Raw genomic sequence first — 16,859 nt, 5'->3', positions numbered from 1 at the left:
ATTTTAAATAGCTGCCATTAGTTTAGCACCTTTTTTGTGAAGAGTCAGTCTGTAGTGCATTACAAATATTAACAATTCTAGAAGCTAGTTATAAGTAACCCTTTTATACAACCAATGACTCTCAGATTCAGAGAATTAAGTAAGTTTTCTAAGCTCCCATGGATCACTTAGTTGTAGTTCATAACTTTTTATCTTTTTTTTCTCTCCCATTCCATAAAATACTTTATGCAAACTTTAAATCAAGTTCACATAAGACAATATATAAGAGGTTAAAGTCACCCAGGCAAAGACAAGACCAGATAGCACTAATTTAGATACTAAAGAAAATTTAAAAAAAAAAACTACAAAATGTTGACATTATAATTAAAGAGATACAATAGAGCAGGCATCAAAGCTGCTTTGCATTTACTTTTCAGTTTTTTAAAAATTTTTCTTTAATTCTTTAAAAATACAAAATGTTTACTAAGTGCCAGGCATTGACCAGGCCCTGAGTAGGTAGTGGTGAATAAATGAAATGGGTAGAGTCCCCAGATATATGGAGCTTACAGACATGAAACAGATATATACATAAATAACTACATAATGACAGAACAGTATATGCTAGGAAGATAAGGAGAGAGTGCGCAAATGATAATGAGGTAAGAGCAATTATAAAATGAAAACTTTGATAAAAATTCATTGAAAATAGGATTTTCATATGACCACTGTATTAGTCTATTCTCATAATGCTAATAATCACATACTGGAGATTAAGTAATTTATAAAGGAATGAGGTTTAATTGACTTACAGTTCAGCATGGCTGAGGAGGCCACAGGAAATTTACAATCATGGTGGAAGGGGAAGCAAACACATCCTTCTTCACATGATGGCAGGAAGGAGAAGTACAGAGCAAAGTGTGTGTGTGGGGATCCCTTTATAAAACCATCAGATCTTGTGAGAACTCACTCACTACCACGAGAACAGCATGGAAGTAACTGCCCCCTTAATTCAATTACCTCCCACTGGGTCCCTCCTAGGATACATGGGGATTATGGGAACTAGAGTCCAAGATAGGATTTGTGTGGAGACACAGCCAAAGCATGTCATTCTACCCTGGGCCACTACCACATCTCATGTTCTCACATTTCAAAACACAATCATACCTTCCCAAGAGTCTCCCTAAGTCTGGATGTCCAGACTTCTCTTCTTTGTCTGGCTCTGTTCCTTTTCCCCTCCTTATACTTTACTCCCTATTCCCCAAATTAGAAAGAGGCAGATTTTCAGGTTACTCTCCCTTTCTCAAGTTCTCCCACCACCAGTAAGCAGCACCTGTTGCCAAAATGGAAAGAGAACTTTTTTCAGCAACAAGAAACTGTAAAATAAGTCCTAAGCCCTTCCCCTTTGTAAATATAAAGGTGGAAATAAAGTAATAGAGATTATTTTATCTCAGTAAAATTCACTACCACACAATTGCTTGCTGCAAAATCTCACTTATGAAGACTGGAAGTGAAATGTATTTTCTATATTTCTCACTGTCTTCATTCAGCAACAAATCCTAATCTACACAGCACACTGCCTAGATCCTGAAGCAGACTGGTCCTTCAAGAATGATAGATCAAAGGTCACATAATCAGAAAGACAAAAAAGAAATATTCTGTAACAATTTTTAAATTATTACATTAAGTTTGGATAATTTGTAAAGCTTGTCTTGAATAAAAATGAAAGCAGTTTGCCCTATAATGTGAGCAGTAGAAACAGTGGGAAATACAAGAGCAAAATGGACAGAAATATAGCAATAGATATTGTTTAATGTAACCCTAATTCTTTGAAAGTTACATATATTTTAGCTCTTTATAAATTATTTGAATTGAAATTCACCATATCAGGAAACACAAGCATACTTCTATCACTAAAACACTTAAGGAATATTTCTTATATTTTGTAGGAGCTTTGGAAAGACTGTGTTCAATGTTATCCTTCTGATTTTATTTTTGAAAACCTATAATATTTAGATAATAGACTCTTCCATGGCAGCCAAAAATAAAAGAAATTGTCAACTTTCCTGTCTCAATTACAATTCAGTACCAATGTTTTTGTTTACACTATTCTATTTGTGTTCATGTTTCCCCATTGCTGTTTTTGCGGACCACAGTATCAAAAATACTCGTTGATTTGCATGTAAATTTTATCTGATGATGTTAAAGAAGTACTGTTTTCTATCACCTAATGATCCAAATTTTAAGACAGAAATTACACTTTATATATATATATATATATATATATATATATACACACATAAAAATATGTATATGTGTGTGTGTATATATATATATATTCTGATGGATTCTATAGGATACCAAGCACATAAATTGAAAGATTAAAATTTCATATTAAGTTACAGTCAACAAGTGTTTATTGAGCACTTATATGTCGGGTATTTTTCTAGACATTTGAACTAACAGCAATGAGCAAGTCCAACTAAAGCCCTACTTTCATGGGGCTTATCATCCAGTTTGAGGAGACATAGAATAAACAAAATAAATTAGCAAACTATTTTTGTATTATAAAATAATAAATGCTTTGCATGGAAAAAAAAAGAAAAAGGGAAGGAGGATCAGGAACTCTGGGCAAGAATGTTACCTTAATTAGGAAGTGCCACCTGAACAAAAAAATTAAAGGTGGTTATAGAGCAAGCCTGCGAGTATCTGAAGGAAGAACCTTCCAGGAAGATAGAGAAGCAAGTGCAAAAGCCCTGAGGGAAGTGTGCCTGTGAAAGAAGCACACTCCAGATCAAATAGAGCCCCGTGCGTTGGAGCAGGGAGTCTCACTGCAAAGCTGGTCTGCTCTGCTACTGTCAGACACATGCAGAGGTGAGTGTACTTTAATAAAAATACCTTTTTTTCCAGAAATGGGTAAGGCTTCCACTTGTTCCACGAGGCTTTCCATTCAAAGATTATTGGGCGTTACCTATGCAGCAGGCATTATATTAGTCTCCTGGTGAGTGAATAATACATAATTTTGGCCTTAAAATGTTGTGACTCTCAAATTTCAATTGATGAGAAACACCTGGGAAGCTTGCTAAGACTATATACTACTGAGTCCCATCCTAGAATCACTAATTTCAGAAGTTATCGAGTGGAAGAGGAGTCTTCATTTTAATAGACACTTTAGTTCATTTTGATTAGTCTATGGGCTACAGTTTAAAAATCACTTATCCAGATGGTATGTTGTATCTTCAAAATAGTATCAGGTTACACATCCTCAGAATTTTATATTAAGAGTATATAATTATAATTAAAGACCCATTTGCATCTTTATTAGTTTAATGAGTCTTTCCAACTAGATCAAGTAAAACTGATAAAGTTTACACCTGATAGATACTTCTTTGTGGGTAGGAGGCAAGGTGATTTGCTAAGGTTGAGAAGAAAGAGGTGGAAGGCTGGGAGATTAACATTTAGGAAATGTATGTGGGATAGAAGTCAATGATTCAAGGAGAAAAACTGTAGCAAAATAACCTTCTTGAACTAACCATATGTGCTCAGTGGCTTTTGCATAAGTTTCACAGAAAATCCTTTCACATCTCACAATGAAATATGAACAGCCAGTTAATGAGTAACCAAAATTTTAGACAAGATAGTAACTCATCCTTTGTTATCAAGGTAGAAAAATATAAAAGACTATAGAGATGAACTTCAAATCCAAATCCACCTGCTTCCAAATCCATGTTATATCAATTGTACCTTAAAATTTTTCAAATAAAAAGAGTGACCCCAGCTATGGAACAAAGATTTTTACATTACATGTAAAAATCATTGTTTCTCCATTTTTTTCACATGTTGATCTTTGTCCCACTCTTTTCTAATTCTATTTTTACATGAAAAATAATCAGTTCCTTAAAGACATGTTTCATATGTGCTTACATACTCTAATGTGCAAGACCAATTCTGAAGCAGTTTGGGCTACTCCAGCTGTCTCTAATTCTCCATATAGATAAACCTCTAGATCTTTAACACAGTTGGTACTCGTTAATGGTGTGCCCTTGGGCAAGGTACTGAAACATTGTTTGCCTTATTTTCCCCACCTGTAAAATGAGGTTAAAAATGGTACTAACCTATTGCGAATAGTGCCGCAATAAACATAACATGTGCGTGTGTCTTTATAGTAGAATGATTTATAATCCTTGGGTTATACACCCAGTAATGGGATTGCTGGGTCAAATGGTATTTCTAGTTCTAACCAACCCGAATGCCCATCAGTGATAGACTGGGTAAAGAAAATGTGACACATATACACCATGGAATACTATGCAGTCATAAAAAAGGATGAGTTCATGCCCTTTGCAGGGACATGGATGAAGCTGGAAACTATCATCCTCAGCAAACTAACACAAGAACAGAAAACCAAACACCACATGTTCTCACTCATACGTGGTAGTTGAACAATGAGAGCACATGGACACAGGGAGGGGAACATCACACACCAGGTCCTGTCGGGCTGGGCAGTGGGGAGCAAGGGGAGGGAGAGCTTTAGGAGAAATACTTAATGTAGGTGACAGGTTGATGGGTGCAGCAAACCACCCTGTCATGTGTATATACCTATGCAGAAAAACTGTACGTTCTGACATGTAACCCAGAATTTAAAGTATAATTTTTTTTTTTTTTTTTTTTGGGGACGGAGTTTCGCTCTGTCGCCCAGGCTGGAGTGCAGTGGCGCGATCTCGACTCACTGCAAGCTCCGCCTCCCGGGTTCACGCCATTCTCCTGCCTCAGCCTCCCGTGTAGCTGGGACTACAGGCGTGCGCCACCATGCCCGGCTAATTTTTTTTGTATTTTTAGTAGAGACGGGGTTTCACCGTGTTAGCCAGGATGGTCTCGATCTCCTGACCTTGTGATCCGCCCATCTCGGCCTCCCAAAGTGCTGGGATTACAGGCGTGAGCCACCGCGCCCGGCCTAAAGTATAATTTTTTTAAAAAAAAGAAGAAAAAAAATGGCACTAACCTCACAAAGTAGTTCTGCATCTATATATACACACACATACACATAACCTAATTAAAATTGTTCATGGTACATGGTAAATCCTATGTAAGGTATAAATTTCAGCTATCATTATCATCATCATTATTGCCATCACCAGCATCATCATTTGTAGTTTATTGTTACATTGCATTGACTCCTCAGCATGTGTGTTCCATCTTTTTTCCAAGTTACATTGCTTTAAGTAAAAATTTACCTGTTTCCTAATTTAAAAAATAAATTAAACTACAACATGTATATCATGTTCATGCTCTTACAGAAAAGAACAAGTTCTCACTACTTTTCACTCTGAAATGAAAATTCTACATGTCTAATTCAATATGTAATTATTATTGTTTTTATAATAATTTTTTATGGAATGTAAAGTGTAACCCAAGGAATTGAGTGGGTTTCCTATCTTATTTCGTTTTTTGATAATTTACAATAAAGCCTTTTAATTGGCCTTGGAAGTTTTTATAAAGATGACATTTTACATTTAAACCAGAATGCAGTAAAAAGACTCCTCTTGCAGGCAGCACAGAAAAAAATGTTTCTTAGAGGCAGCTTCTAAGGCCATCCAATTTCTTTTAATTCAAGGTACTCATCATGCCAGAGCATCATACTTTGAGGTCTTGCTCGATTGGGCCTAACATTCCCCTGTCTGAAACTTCCCTAGAAGTTTTACACACTAAAAGTTGAGTTGAAGGCTATGCAGAGAGAATAATCAAGTTGGTAGCTGAGCGGCAAAAGATCTCATAAACCAGGCTCTCATTCCTGGGAAAAGGTCAGTCCAGTGAAGCAGTTGTGTCTCATTTTAGCCTCTGTATGGTACTGGCAAAGAAGTCTTTAATAAGAGACATTTCAATGGAAATAGAATAAAACAAAGGCTAATGTTTGGAGCAGCCTGTAAGGTAGATTCTCTAGAGTTTAGAGGGCAGTCAATTGAGAAGATTCCAAGATTTGTGTTTGAAGTTGAAACAGAAAGATGTAAAGGCAATCTAACAGATTTTCCTGCATTGCAGTTTAAACGTAAGATGATATCTCTGACACTTATTTATCAAGGCAGCCATTTTTAGCTTGTAGAGCTTCAGGAAAGCAGAGTTTTAACTTTTAGTGATTCCAAGTCACAGGATGGGAGAAAGATTTAAAATGTTAGTTTGGAGACTCACTGACAGATATTGGGAGAAACTAAAAATTCAGGATTCTGTTCAGATTGTAGGTAAATAATAAAAATGTGAAAACAATGGGCAGGGCTAGACTCTAATAACAGGTACACTATGGCTTTCCTCTGAAACATATTTTTTTCCATCCCCTGTCCCCTCATTTTTATCAGATAATCACAATAAGTCCAATGAATTGCAAAGTAAGTTTAATCTCATTAACTTGGCCTGCTTTCTTTGTTTGTTTGTTTGTTTTGCATAAATTGCAGCAAGTATAGTGATTGTTCATATAGGCTTGTTACCAGTCAAAGATATTTAAGTTATTGGTGGCAAATCTGTATGGGTCTGCAGCAACCTCAATTCTTGCCTTCTCAGAAGAAAGAATCTGACTGAGGAGCATAAGGCAGTAAAAGAGACCAAGGCAAGTGTCAGAGCAGGAGTGTACGTTTATTTAAAAGGCTTTAGGCCGGCCTGGTGAATTTTGGGAGGCCGAGGCAGGCGGATCCTCTGCGGTCAGGAGTTCAAGACCAGCCTGGCCAAAGTGGTGAAACCCCATCTCTACTAAAAATACAGAAATTAGCTGGGCATGGTGGCTGACGCCTGTAATCCCACTCACCCGGGAGGCTGAGGTAGGAGAATCGCTTGAACCTGGGAGGCGGAGGTTGAGCTGAGTGAGCTGAGATCGTGCCACTGCACTCCAGCCTGGATGCCAAAGCAAAATGCTGCCTCAAAAAAAAAAAAAAAAGCTTTAAAACAGGAAGTACACTTGGAAGAGAGCCAAGTGGGAACTGAGGTCAAGTGCAATGTTTACCTTTGATTCTAGGACTTCAGGCTGGCTGGCCACTTTCCCATGATTCTTCCCTTAGGATGGGCTGCCTGTATGTGCAGTACCCTCCTTACCCTTGGAAAGTGAGCATGTGCAGTGTGTTTAGGAAGTTGTATGCATGCCCATCTGAGGCTTTCTTCCCTTTTCCAGAAGAGTGCCCCCCAGAAGGTCACACTCTGCCATTTTGTCTTTTAATGCACATGCCTGGGAAGTTGCTTCTCCCTAGTGCTTGCATTCAATTAACACTTAGTGCAATAGGTGTGGACCATCAGAAAATGGCCTTTCCCTGGCACCAGCTGCCAATTTATCACTTTTAGAGAGACAATGCGATAATTGCTGGACCATCATCCGACATTCCTAGTGGGTTGGGGGAGAGCCCTCTCTTGCCCCACTCATGCCTATCTAACTACTTGTAATAGGCTCTTTTTAAGTTTCCTTTGTTGGAACTTTAAGTAAGGGACCTCAGAATAGACATTTTAAATAACCTCTTTAGGCTAGGAAACCAAGCCAAGGTCTTACCATCAAACTTTACTTGTAGAAGCTAGCTGAATTCTTCTCTCTTTTAGGCTCACAAAATATTTTGAGGTCCCAAGGCAGGTCAGAAAGTCACATTCTTGAATCTCCACAAGGCCAGGAAACTTGTATTCAAGGTACCAGCTCAGCTTCTTCAAGGGGCTTTTACTGGTTTCATAAATCCAACCTCAGTTTTTTAAAGTTGTCTGTTCATATCTGAAGAATTGACATTCTAGTGAAAGTTTTGGTAATATAATCTGTGTTTCCAGCTATCTCCTGTTAGAACAAATTTTTGTTGAATTTATGTGGGTAAGTATATTGTCAGAAAGTTAACAACACTCATGAATATTTTCTGAATTACAGAGGGATCAGGAAGGGAGAAAAGGTGAATGATTCAATGCTGCTCAAAAAAAGTATACTTTACCAAATTTCTGTAAGCTATAGATAGCTTAAAAACAAACATAAAAAATTCCTTTAATCTAGCAAACAAAAAGAATTAACAATGTTTCAAGCAAAAAGTATAATAATAATAGTGCCTCATCAGTTTATTTCCAAATAATTAATTTTTGTTCTCCTTGATGTTGGATTAGCAAGTTTATGAATCCAGGTCTTTTTTTTCTTTTAACAGAGTTCTAGAAATTCTCGAAGTTATCAGAAACCTATACTTGTCGCAGTTATTCTCATTCTTTTCATATATCTCATTGAGATACAATATTATAAGATTATAATTGCTTGCAAAGAGCTGTCATAAAAAGCATAAAAAAAGTACTGTGCTATGTACAGCAAGACATAAAATGGCCATGATTAAAAATCTGATGGGAGTTTATTATTATTTCTATGGCATAAAACAATTTAATATGTAGTTGCCCCTTGAACAAGAGAGGTTTCAACTGCAAGGATTCACTTATATACAGATTTTTTCCATAAATATATTGAAAAATTTTTGGAAATTTGCAACCATTTCAAAAAAACTTGGAGACAAACTGTGTAGCCTAGAAATTTCAAAAAAAAGAAAAAGTATGTAAGTAATGAATGTAGAAAATATATCTAGATACTATAAAATATATATAAATTAATTATAAAATATTAAAATTTATCAAAGCTTATGTACACAGGCACAGACTATACATGGCACTATTTGCAGTAGAGAAAAATGTAAAGAAACATAAAGATGAAGTAGTAAATCATAACTGCATAAAATTAATTGTAGCACATACTGTACTACTGTAAGCATTTCTTAACCACCTCCTATTGCTATTGTAGTGAGCTTATGTTGTGAGTATCTGCTTAAAATGCTATGTAATGCTAATCATCTTTGGATGAGTAGTACATCCTGATAGTAAATTGTGTATCAAAGTAAAAAGTTATCTCTACTGGGTATTATATATTTTTCATCCTGCTTAGTGCAATAACATAAACCTAAGTAACACCATGGGACTGAAACAAAGTGCCAGTAGTAATGCAGGAAGTGTTCCCAAGAAACACAGTCATGACATAATAAGAAAAAGTTTAAATTGCTTGATGTATATAATAGTTGGAAGTCTGTAGCTGTGGTGTCCTGCCAATTCCAGATAAATAAATCCAGCATAGAGATCATTGTAAAAAAAAGAAATTCATGAAATTGTAGGCGCAGCTATGCCAGCAGATGCAAAAACTTTGACTATTTTGTGAAATACCTTTTTATGTCATACTGAAAACATAGCTTTTATGTTGATGCGGGATTCCTCTAAGTAAGTCATACTTATAAACTCTAAAATAAGTCATTATATGACAACCTAACCAAACAGAAGGTAAATAATCTAAAGCTACATAATTTAATGCCAGCAAAGGATGGTTTGATAATTTTAGAAATATCAAGTTAACACAAGAAGCAGCTTCTGCTGACCAGGAGGCAGCAGACATGTTCCAGAAATTATTAAGAAAGTTGTTGAGGAGAAAGAATATCTGCCTTAACAGATGTTTAATGCAGATGAAAGTGCCATATTCTGAAGAGGAAAAAAAAAGCCAAAAGGACATTTCTTATTAAGGAAGAGAAACAAGCACCAGGATATAATGCAAGAAGGGATAGGCTAATTCTACTGTTTTGTGTATATGCAGTTGGGTATATGATCAGGACTGTCCTTATCTATAAAGCTGCTAACTACTGAACCTTGAAGAAAATGATCAGCTGTCCCTCTTTTCATTGTACAACATAAAGGCCAGGACAGCAAGAACATTTAATTTTGTTTTCTGGATTGGTTCTGTTAATGTTTGGCCCTGAAGTCAGGAAATACTTAGCCAGTAAGGGACTTCCTTTTAAAGTTTATTTAATATTGGGCAATGCCCCTGGGCTACTGGGAACCCCAGGAGTTTAATACTGAAGGTGTCAAAGTGGTATATTTGCACCCAACATAACATGTCTAACTCAGCCTCTAGATCATGGGTCACTAGGACCATTAAGGCTCATTACTCAGGGTACTGCATGAAGAGGATTGTCAATACTATGGAAGAGAGATCTGATAGAGAGAACATCATGAAGTCCAGAAGGATTACACCTTTGAAGATGCCATCATTGCTACAGAAAATGTCAAGAAATCCATTATGCCTGAAACAGTAAATTCCTTCTGGAGAAAACTGAGTGCAGATGTTGTGCATGACATAATATAATTTGTGACAGTGCCAATTAAGGAAATAAAAAAGTGGATAAAAAATAAATTAAAAAATAAAATTGTGGCCAAAAAAAAGTGAGGGGTGATGGGTGTTAAGACATAAATCTTGGAGAAATTCAAGAGCTAATAGACACCGTGCCAGAGGAATTAATAGAAGATTGAATGAAAATGAGTGCTGTCAAACCAATGCTAGATGATAAGGAAGAAGACATAGAAGAAGCAGTGCCAGAAAAGAAATGTACATTAGACAGTCTGGCAGTGTGTTAGATTGAAGACTGCTTTTGACTTCTTTTATTCCATGGACCCTTCTATGATATGGGCATGGAAACTAAAGCAAATGGTAGAATAAAAGTTGGTACCATATAGAAACCTTTTTAGGTCAATTGAAAATTTTGAAAGTCAGACAGAATTTATGATGTATTTCCATAATGTTATACTAAGTGTTCCTGCCTCTCTTGCTTTTGCTTCTACCACTTCTGCATTTTCTGCCTTGGCCCCACCCCTGAGACAGCAAAACCAACCCCTCTTCTTCCTCCTTTTCCTCAGCCTACTCAATATAAAGACAGTGAGGATGAAGACGTTTATGATTATCCACTTCATTTAATGAATAGAAAATCTGTTTTCTCTTTTTTATGATATTCTTAAAATTTCCTTTTTTCTAGCTAATTTTATTGTCAAAATGCAATATACAGAATATGAATTGACTGTTTATGTTATACAGTAGGCTATTAGTAGTTATTTTTTGAGGAGTCAAAAGTTTTATGTGAAATATTGACTGGGCAAGGGGTTGGCACACCTAATTTCTATGTTGTTCAAGGGTCAACTGTAATAACCAAAGATTATAAATGATAGTATTACGTCAAGACATACCGGATTTCTAGAAATCTCATATAATTTTGGAACACATTAATAACGTATTCATACAAATATAACTCAGTTAAATATAATTTCTTATTTGACAATATTATTATATAATTTTAAGATACTAAATAAGTCAAGTAGTTTAATATGTCTCTTTTGTATTTCCTGGGGCCCTTCTGGAATGTCTAAAATTTAGCTCAAGGTGAAAAAAAAAAAAAAGAAAATAACTTAATTCTGATTTTGCAAAATTTGTAAAAAAATAAAGGTTCAAAATCCTTTATCAAAAATAGGTCACAGGTTATTACAAAATAGTATTCATTTAATCAATATCACTAATAACATCATGAGGCATACAGAATCTCTCTCTCTTCTTTTTAAAAATACTCACACAAAACATAACAAAATATTTTTATCTTTTATTAATACTACATTAAAATCTGTGTAAAGGAGAAGAGAAAATCCTAGTTTTATATCAATGTACTTTTTCTATTAAGGTTCACTTTTTAAAACTTATAATAAATTCATGTAGCTTTAATCAGTTTAACCAGATAAGATTCTTTTTTGCACTGCTTCCTCTTTCTAACTTTTTATATCCATTTATTTTTATCTATAACATTTCTTTCTCCATTTATTTATTCTGAAACAATCTTTGAATACACTTTAGACTAGACAAAGTTATTTTGTCTCAATAAAAATACATATCTTCTATTCCTTTTTTATGTTTCCTCACCAAAAACACATCTTGCTTTTCTTGTATACTTGGTATGCAGAATTGTTTCCCTTATTTTTAGTAATTATAATTATGTATATTCACTAGAATTTTAACTCTTAGTAGCCTTAATTTTTAGTGAAATCCTAGGAAGTAAGCAGTTTTTAATTGTGTCATATAATCACATTTTATGAATACATATTTTATAATTTAAAAAAATTCAATTTTTTAAATGTAGAACAGGAAAGATTCAAATATATTGTTTGAATAATATTCAAACATAATAAATTCAAATATATTATGTTTGTTTGCAATATGAAACTGAAAGTAAAAAACAAACCTCACGGTCTGTAACTGATGTTTCGATATTTTATTTTATTTGGAAATTGTCTAGAAATTTTATAAATATATGTAAGTTAACTTAACAAATCTCTAAAGGTATAGATGTCAAAGAAATTTGAGAAAATTTTAAATTAAACATATTATAAATAATAATTGTTATTTAAAAATTATGTGTAAGTACTCCCACTTAATATATTTAATTCATTTCTTCTTAGGTCAAATTCATGCTTTTATAAGTTTGATCTTAAACATCCTCTAGAGATAAAAGCTCTGTATCTGCATTAGATTTAATGTTGACAGACATGCCTGTTTTAATTAAATCAATGTTATTCTTATTTACCAAGGATTACCAAAGTCACATGACCTTGAAAAGAATTTGTACTTATTTAATTTATGAATGTTCATTTATTCTTAAGTGAATTTGGTACCATGTGGACAATATACAAACACATGAAAGAAACAAACATCCATGTAGACACAACATGCCAAACACACCTGTACACATGCACATACAAAAATACAAACAGAAACAAACAGAGATCTTTCAGCTTTTCAAAAACATTAGCCTTGAGACAGGTACAAAAACTAACTAGTTTAAACAGTTGGATCTAAACTGTGCCACTGTAAATGAAATAAGTTAATCTCTCATATGGCTAAAGCCACCTACTGAGTTCTAGAGATGGGTAGGAAATTTATATCTTGAAGGCACAGAGAAAGATTGCAAATTCTTTCAAGAGGAGTTTGGAGTCTGTAAGCTAGGTAAGACACAGAGTGAGATCTACAGCAGTTGCTAAGGCACAATAAAATCAAGAGAATTTACTACAGAATTTTACAAGAAAGTATACAAACGAGCCTAAAAGAATATTCAGAAGCCTGTGCAAAATAACTGGCTGGCTGAATGTCAGACACTTGAGATTTGCTTTTGTTTTGTTTTGTTTTGTGTGTGTGTCTACCTAAGCATGCAAAGAGGCAAAGAGGATAAAAGTTGGAGTTTGCCCCCTACAAATAACCATTTACTGTAATTATTGCCAGTTACCGTTAAAGTTGCAGCTGTTGCTAGTATCTCATCAGTAACCATATACCCAAATGTCAGGTGTTGTCTCACAGTATAAAATAACCCTTGATATCCCCAAAAGTCAAAGTGACCAGGGAGCTCAGTGCAAAAAGAAAGCAGAGTTTCAAACTTGTGGGGATCCCAACCGCAACTCTTGTGACTTTGTGAGGAAGACAAGAACAACATAAAGGAAACAGTGGTGCACCTTTTTTGTTTCTCTAAGGATTTCAAGAGTGCTAGAAGTCTCCTTTAGGTGTTTTTATATTGTCTCCAGAACTCTGATTTTTCCTCTTATTGCATCAAATGGAGAAAGTAGTAGCTTGAGGGGGAGCATTTCGAGAGAGCTAGTTGCAAGATCAAAGGTAGCAAAAGGAAGGAAGGGCAGAAGTATATGGATGAGCAGGTCTTAGAGGAGTGATTTGGGGGAGATCTTAACTTTCCCCAAAAGGCCAGTGAAGTTCAGTTAGTAGGGATTTGAGAAAAGGGGTTCAGTAGACCAAGAAGTTCCTATGAGAAGAATAGGATCAAAGAAAGAACAAGGAAGTTTGTAAATATGTAGTCTCAATGTTAGCTTTTATTAAGCTAACTTTTTGACAGTATAGCTCTCTTCAAAATTCTTTTTCTTCTTTTTCTTAAGAGCAAAGCAGTTCAGTTTTCATTGTCTAAATTTTTAATAATATCTGCACAATTATAGAGGCCAAATAGGGAAGGTCCTGTGGTTGATGAGAAGGTTGGGTGGTCTTTGAGTAACTTTTAGAGGTACGTCTAAAAGTCTCCGTAGAGACACAATTTGCAATACAAAGACAGTTGCTGTTTATTCACTTATGAATTGGATTATGGCTTGAATAATATAAAGGACTGACTCATTCACTCAATTGCATTATCTTCAATTTGCTCTTTAGTATTAGGGAATGGATTATGTCAAAAATATAAAGAGGGTTCTAATGGCTAAATCTTGATCAATGTAAGCATCAAAATAAATATGGTAATTAATTTCATATTAAAAATAAAAAGCCGAAATAACCTGGGGGGAGGAGCCAAGATGGCCGAATGGGAACGGCTCCAGTCTGCAGCTCCCGGCGTGAGTGACGCAGAGGACGGGTGATTTCTGCATTTCCCTCTGAGGTGCCGGGTTCATCTCACTGGGGAGTGCCAGACGGCGGGCGCAGATCGGTGGGTGCGCGCACTGTGCGCGAGCCGAAGCGGGGCGAGGCATTGCCTCACTTGGGAAGCGCAAGGGGTTGGGGAGTTCCCTTTCCGAGTCAATGAGAGGGGTGACGGACGCACCTGGAAAATCGGATCACTCCCACCCAAATATTACGCTTTTCCGAACTGCTTAGGGAACGGTGCACCACGAGATTGTATCCTGCAACTGGCTCGGAGGGTCCTACGCCCACGGAGTCTCGCTGATTGCTAGCACAGCAGTCTGAGATCCAGCTGCAGGGCGGCAGCGAGGCTGGGGGAGGGGCGCCCGCCATTGCCCAGGCTTGCTTAGGTAAACAAAGCAGCCGGGAAGCTCGAACTGGGTGGAGCCCACCACAGCTCAAGGAGGCCTGCCTGCCTCTGCAGCCTCCACCTCTGGGGGCAGGGCACAGACAAACAAAAAGACAGCAGTAACCTCTGCAGACTTAAATGTCCCTGTCTGACAGCTTTGAAGAGAGCAGTGGTTCTCCCAGCACGCAGCTGGAGATCTGAGAATGGGCAGACTGCCTCCTCAAGTGGGTCCCTGACCCCTGACCCCCGAGCAGCCTAACTGGGAGGCACCCCCCAGCAGGGGCACACTGACACCTCACACGGCAGGATATTCCAACAGACCTGCAGCTGAGGGTACTGTCTGTTAGAAGGAAAACTAACAAACAGAAAGGACATCCACACTGAAAACCCATCTGTACATCACCATCATCAAAGACCAAAAGTAGATAAAACCACAAAGTTGGGGAAAAAACAGAACAGAAAAACTGGAAACTCTAAAACGCAGAGCGCCTCTCCTCCTCCAAAGGAACGCAGTTCCTCACCAGCAACGGAACAAAGCTGGATGGAGAATGACTTTGACGAGCTGAGAGAAGAAGGCTTCAGACGATCAAATTACTCTGAGCTATGGGAGGACATTCAAACCAAAGGCAAAGAAGTTGAAAACTTTGAAAAAAATTTAGAAGAATGTGTAACTAGAATAACCAATACAGAGAAGTGCTTAAAGGAGCTGATGGAGCTGAAAACCAAGGCTCGAGAACTACGTGAAGAATGCAGAAGCCTCAGGAGCTGATGCGATCAACTGGAAGAAAGGGTATCAGCGATGGAAGATGAAATGAATGAAATGAAGCGAGAAGGGAAGTTTAGAGAAAAAAGAATAAAAAGAAATGAGCAAAGCCTCCACGAAATATGGGACTATGTGAAAAGACCAAATCTACGTCTGATTGGTGTACCTGAAAGTGATGGGGAGAATGGAACCAAGTTGGAAAACACTCTGCAGGATATTATCCAGGAGAACTTCCCCAATCTAGCAAGGCAGGCCAACGTTCAGATTCAGGAAATACAGAGAACGCCACAAAGATACTCCTCGAGAAGAGCAACTCCAAGACACATAATTGTCAGATTCACCAAAGTTGAAATGAAGGAAAAAATGTTAAGGGCAGCCAGAGAGAAAGGTCGGGTTACCCTCAAAGGGAAGCCCATCAGACTAACAGCGGATCTCTCGGCAGAAACCCTACAAGCCAGAAGAGAGTGGGGGCCAATATTCAACATTCTTAAAGAAAAGAATTTTCAAACCAGAATTTCATATCCAGCCAAACTAAGCTTCATAAGTGAAGGAGAAATAAAATACTTTACAGACAAGCAAATGCTGAGAGATTTTGTCACCTCCAGGCCTGCCATAAAAGAGCTCCTGAAGGAAGCGCTAAACATGGAAAGGAACAACCGGTACCAGCCGCTGCAAAACCAAGCCAAAATGTAAAGACCATCGAGACTAGGAAGAAACTGCATCAACTAACAAGCAAAATCACCAGCTAACATCATAATGACAGGATCAAATTCACACATAACAATATTAACTTTAAATGTAAATGGACTAAATGCTCCAATTAAAAGACACAGATTGGCAAATTGGATAAAGAGTCAAGACCCATCAGTGTGCTGTATTCAGGAAACTCATCTCACGTGCAGAGACACACATAGGCTCAAAATAAGAGGATGGAGGAAGATCTACCAAGCAAATACAAAACAAAAAAAGGCAGGGGTTGCCATCCTAGTCTATGATAAAACAGACTTTAAACCAACAAAGATCAAAAGAGACAAAGAAGGCCATTACATAATGGTAAAGGGATCAATTCAACAAGAAGAGCTAACTATCCTAAATATATATGCACCCAATACAGGAGCACCGAGATTCATAAAACAAGTCCTGAGTGACCTACAAATAGATGTAGACTCCCACACATTAATAATGGGAGACTTTAACACCCCACTGTCAACATTAGACAGATCAACGAGACAGAAAGTCAACAAGGATACCCAGAATTGAACTCAGCTCTGCACCAAGCGGACCTAATAGACATCTACAGAACTCTCCACCCCAAATCAACAGAATATACATTTTTTTCAGCACCACACCACACCTATTCCAAAATTGACCACATACTTGGAAGTAAAGCTCTCCTCAGCAAATGTAAAAGAACAGAGATTATAACAAACTATCTCTCAGACCACAGTGCAATCAAACTAGAACTCAGGATTAAGAATCTCACTCAAAACCGCTCA

The 16,859-nt window shown here is 36.8% G+C and overlaps 1 long non-coding RNA gene across 1 annotated transcript in view, besides 2 other annotated features; it reads right to left on the bottom strand.

Moving 5' to 3' along the window:
• Positions 1 to 6,581: 6,581 nt before the first annotated feature.
• Positions 6,582 to 16,859, bottom strand: part of LOC105377899 (uncharacterized) — a 198,745-nt gene continuing 188,467 nt past the window's right edge. Inside the window, exons 6-7 of the long non-coding RNA XR_001744262.2 lie at positions 7,499 to 7,768; positions 6,582 to 6,879 (exon numbers count right to left, since the gene is read on the bottom strand). This is a non-coding gene — a long non-coding RNA (uncharacterized LOC105377899). The remainder of the gene's footprint in view (positions 6,880 to 7,498; positions 7,769 to 16,859) is intronic.
• Positions 13,797 to 14,367: an enhancer, noted in NCBI's record as "H3K27ac-H3K4me1 hESC enhancer chr6:94347094-94347664 (GRCh37/hg19 assembly coordinates)". NCBI's record gives its function as "activates a minimal SCP1, AML or CMV promoter by ChIP-STARR-seq in naive H9 embryonic stem cells {active_cell/tissue: H9 hESC(naive)}" and the evidence as "EXISTENCE:reporter gene assay evidence [ECO:0000049][PMID:30033119]".
• Positions 14,368 to 14,939: an enhancer, noted in NCBI's record as "NANOG-H3K27ac-H3K4me1 hESC enhancer chr6:94346522-94347093 (GRCh37/hg19 assembly coordinates)". NCBI's record gives its function as "activates a minimal SCP1, AML or CMV promoter by ChIP-STARR-seq in naive H9 embryonic stem cells {active_cell/tissue: H9 hESC(naive)}" and the evidence as "EXISTENCE:reporter gene assay evidence [ECO:0000049][PMID:30033119]".

Source organism: Homo sapiens, chromosome 6 (assembly GCF_000001405.40).
Source record: "Homo sapiens chromosome 6, GRCh38.p14 Primary Assembly".
NCBI classification, from domain to species: Eukaryota; Metazoa; Chordata; class Mammalia; order Primates; family Hominidae; genus Homo; species Homo sapiens.
The sequence above is the reverse complement of the archived record's forward strand: the minus strand, read 5'-3'. Positions and strand labels throughout refer to the sequence as shown.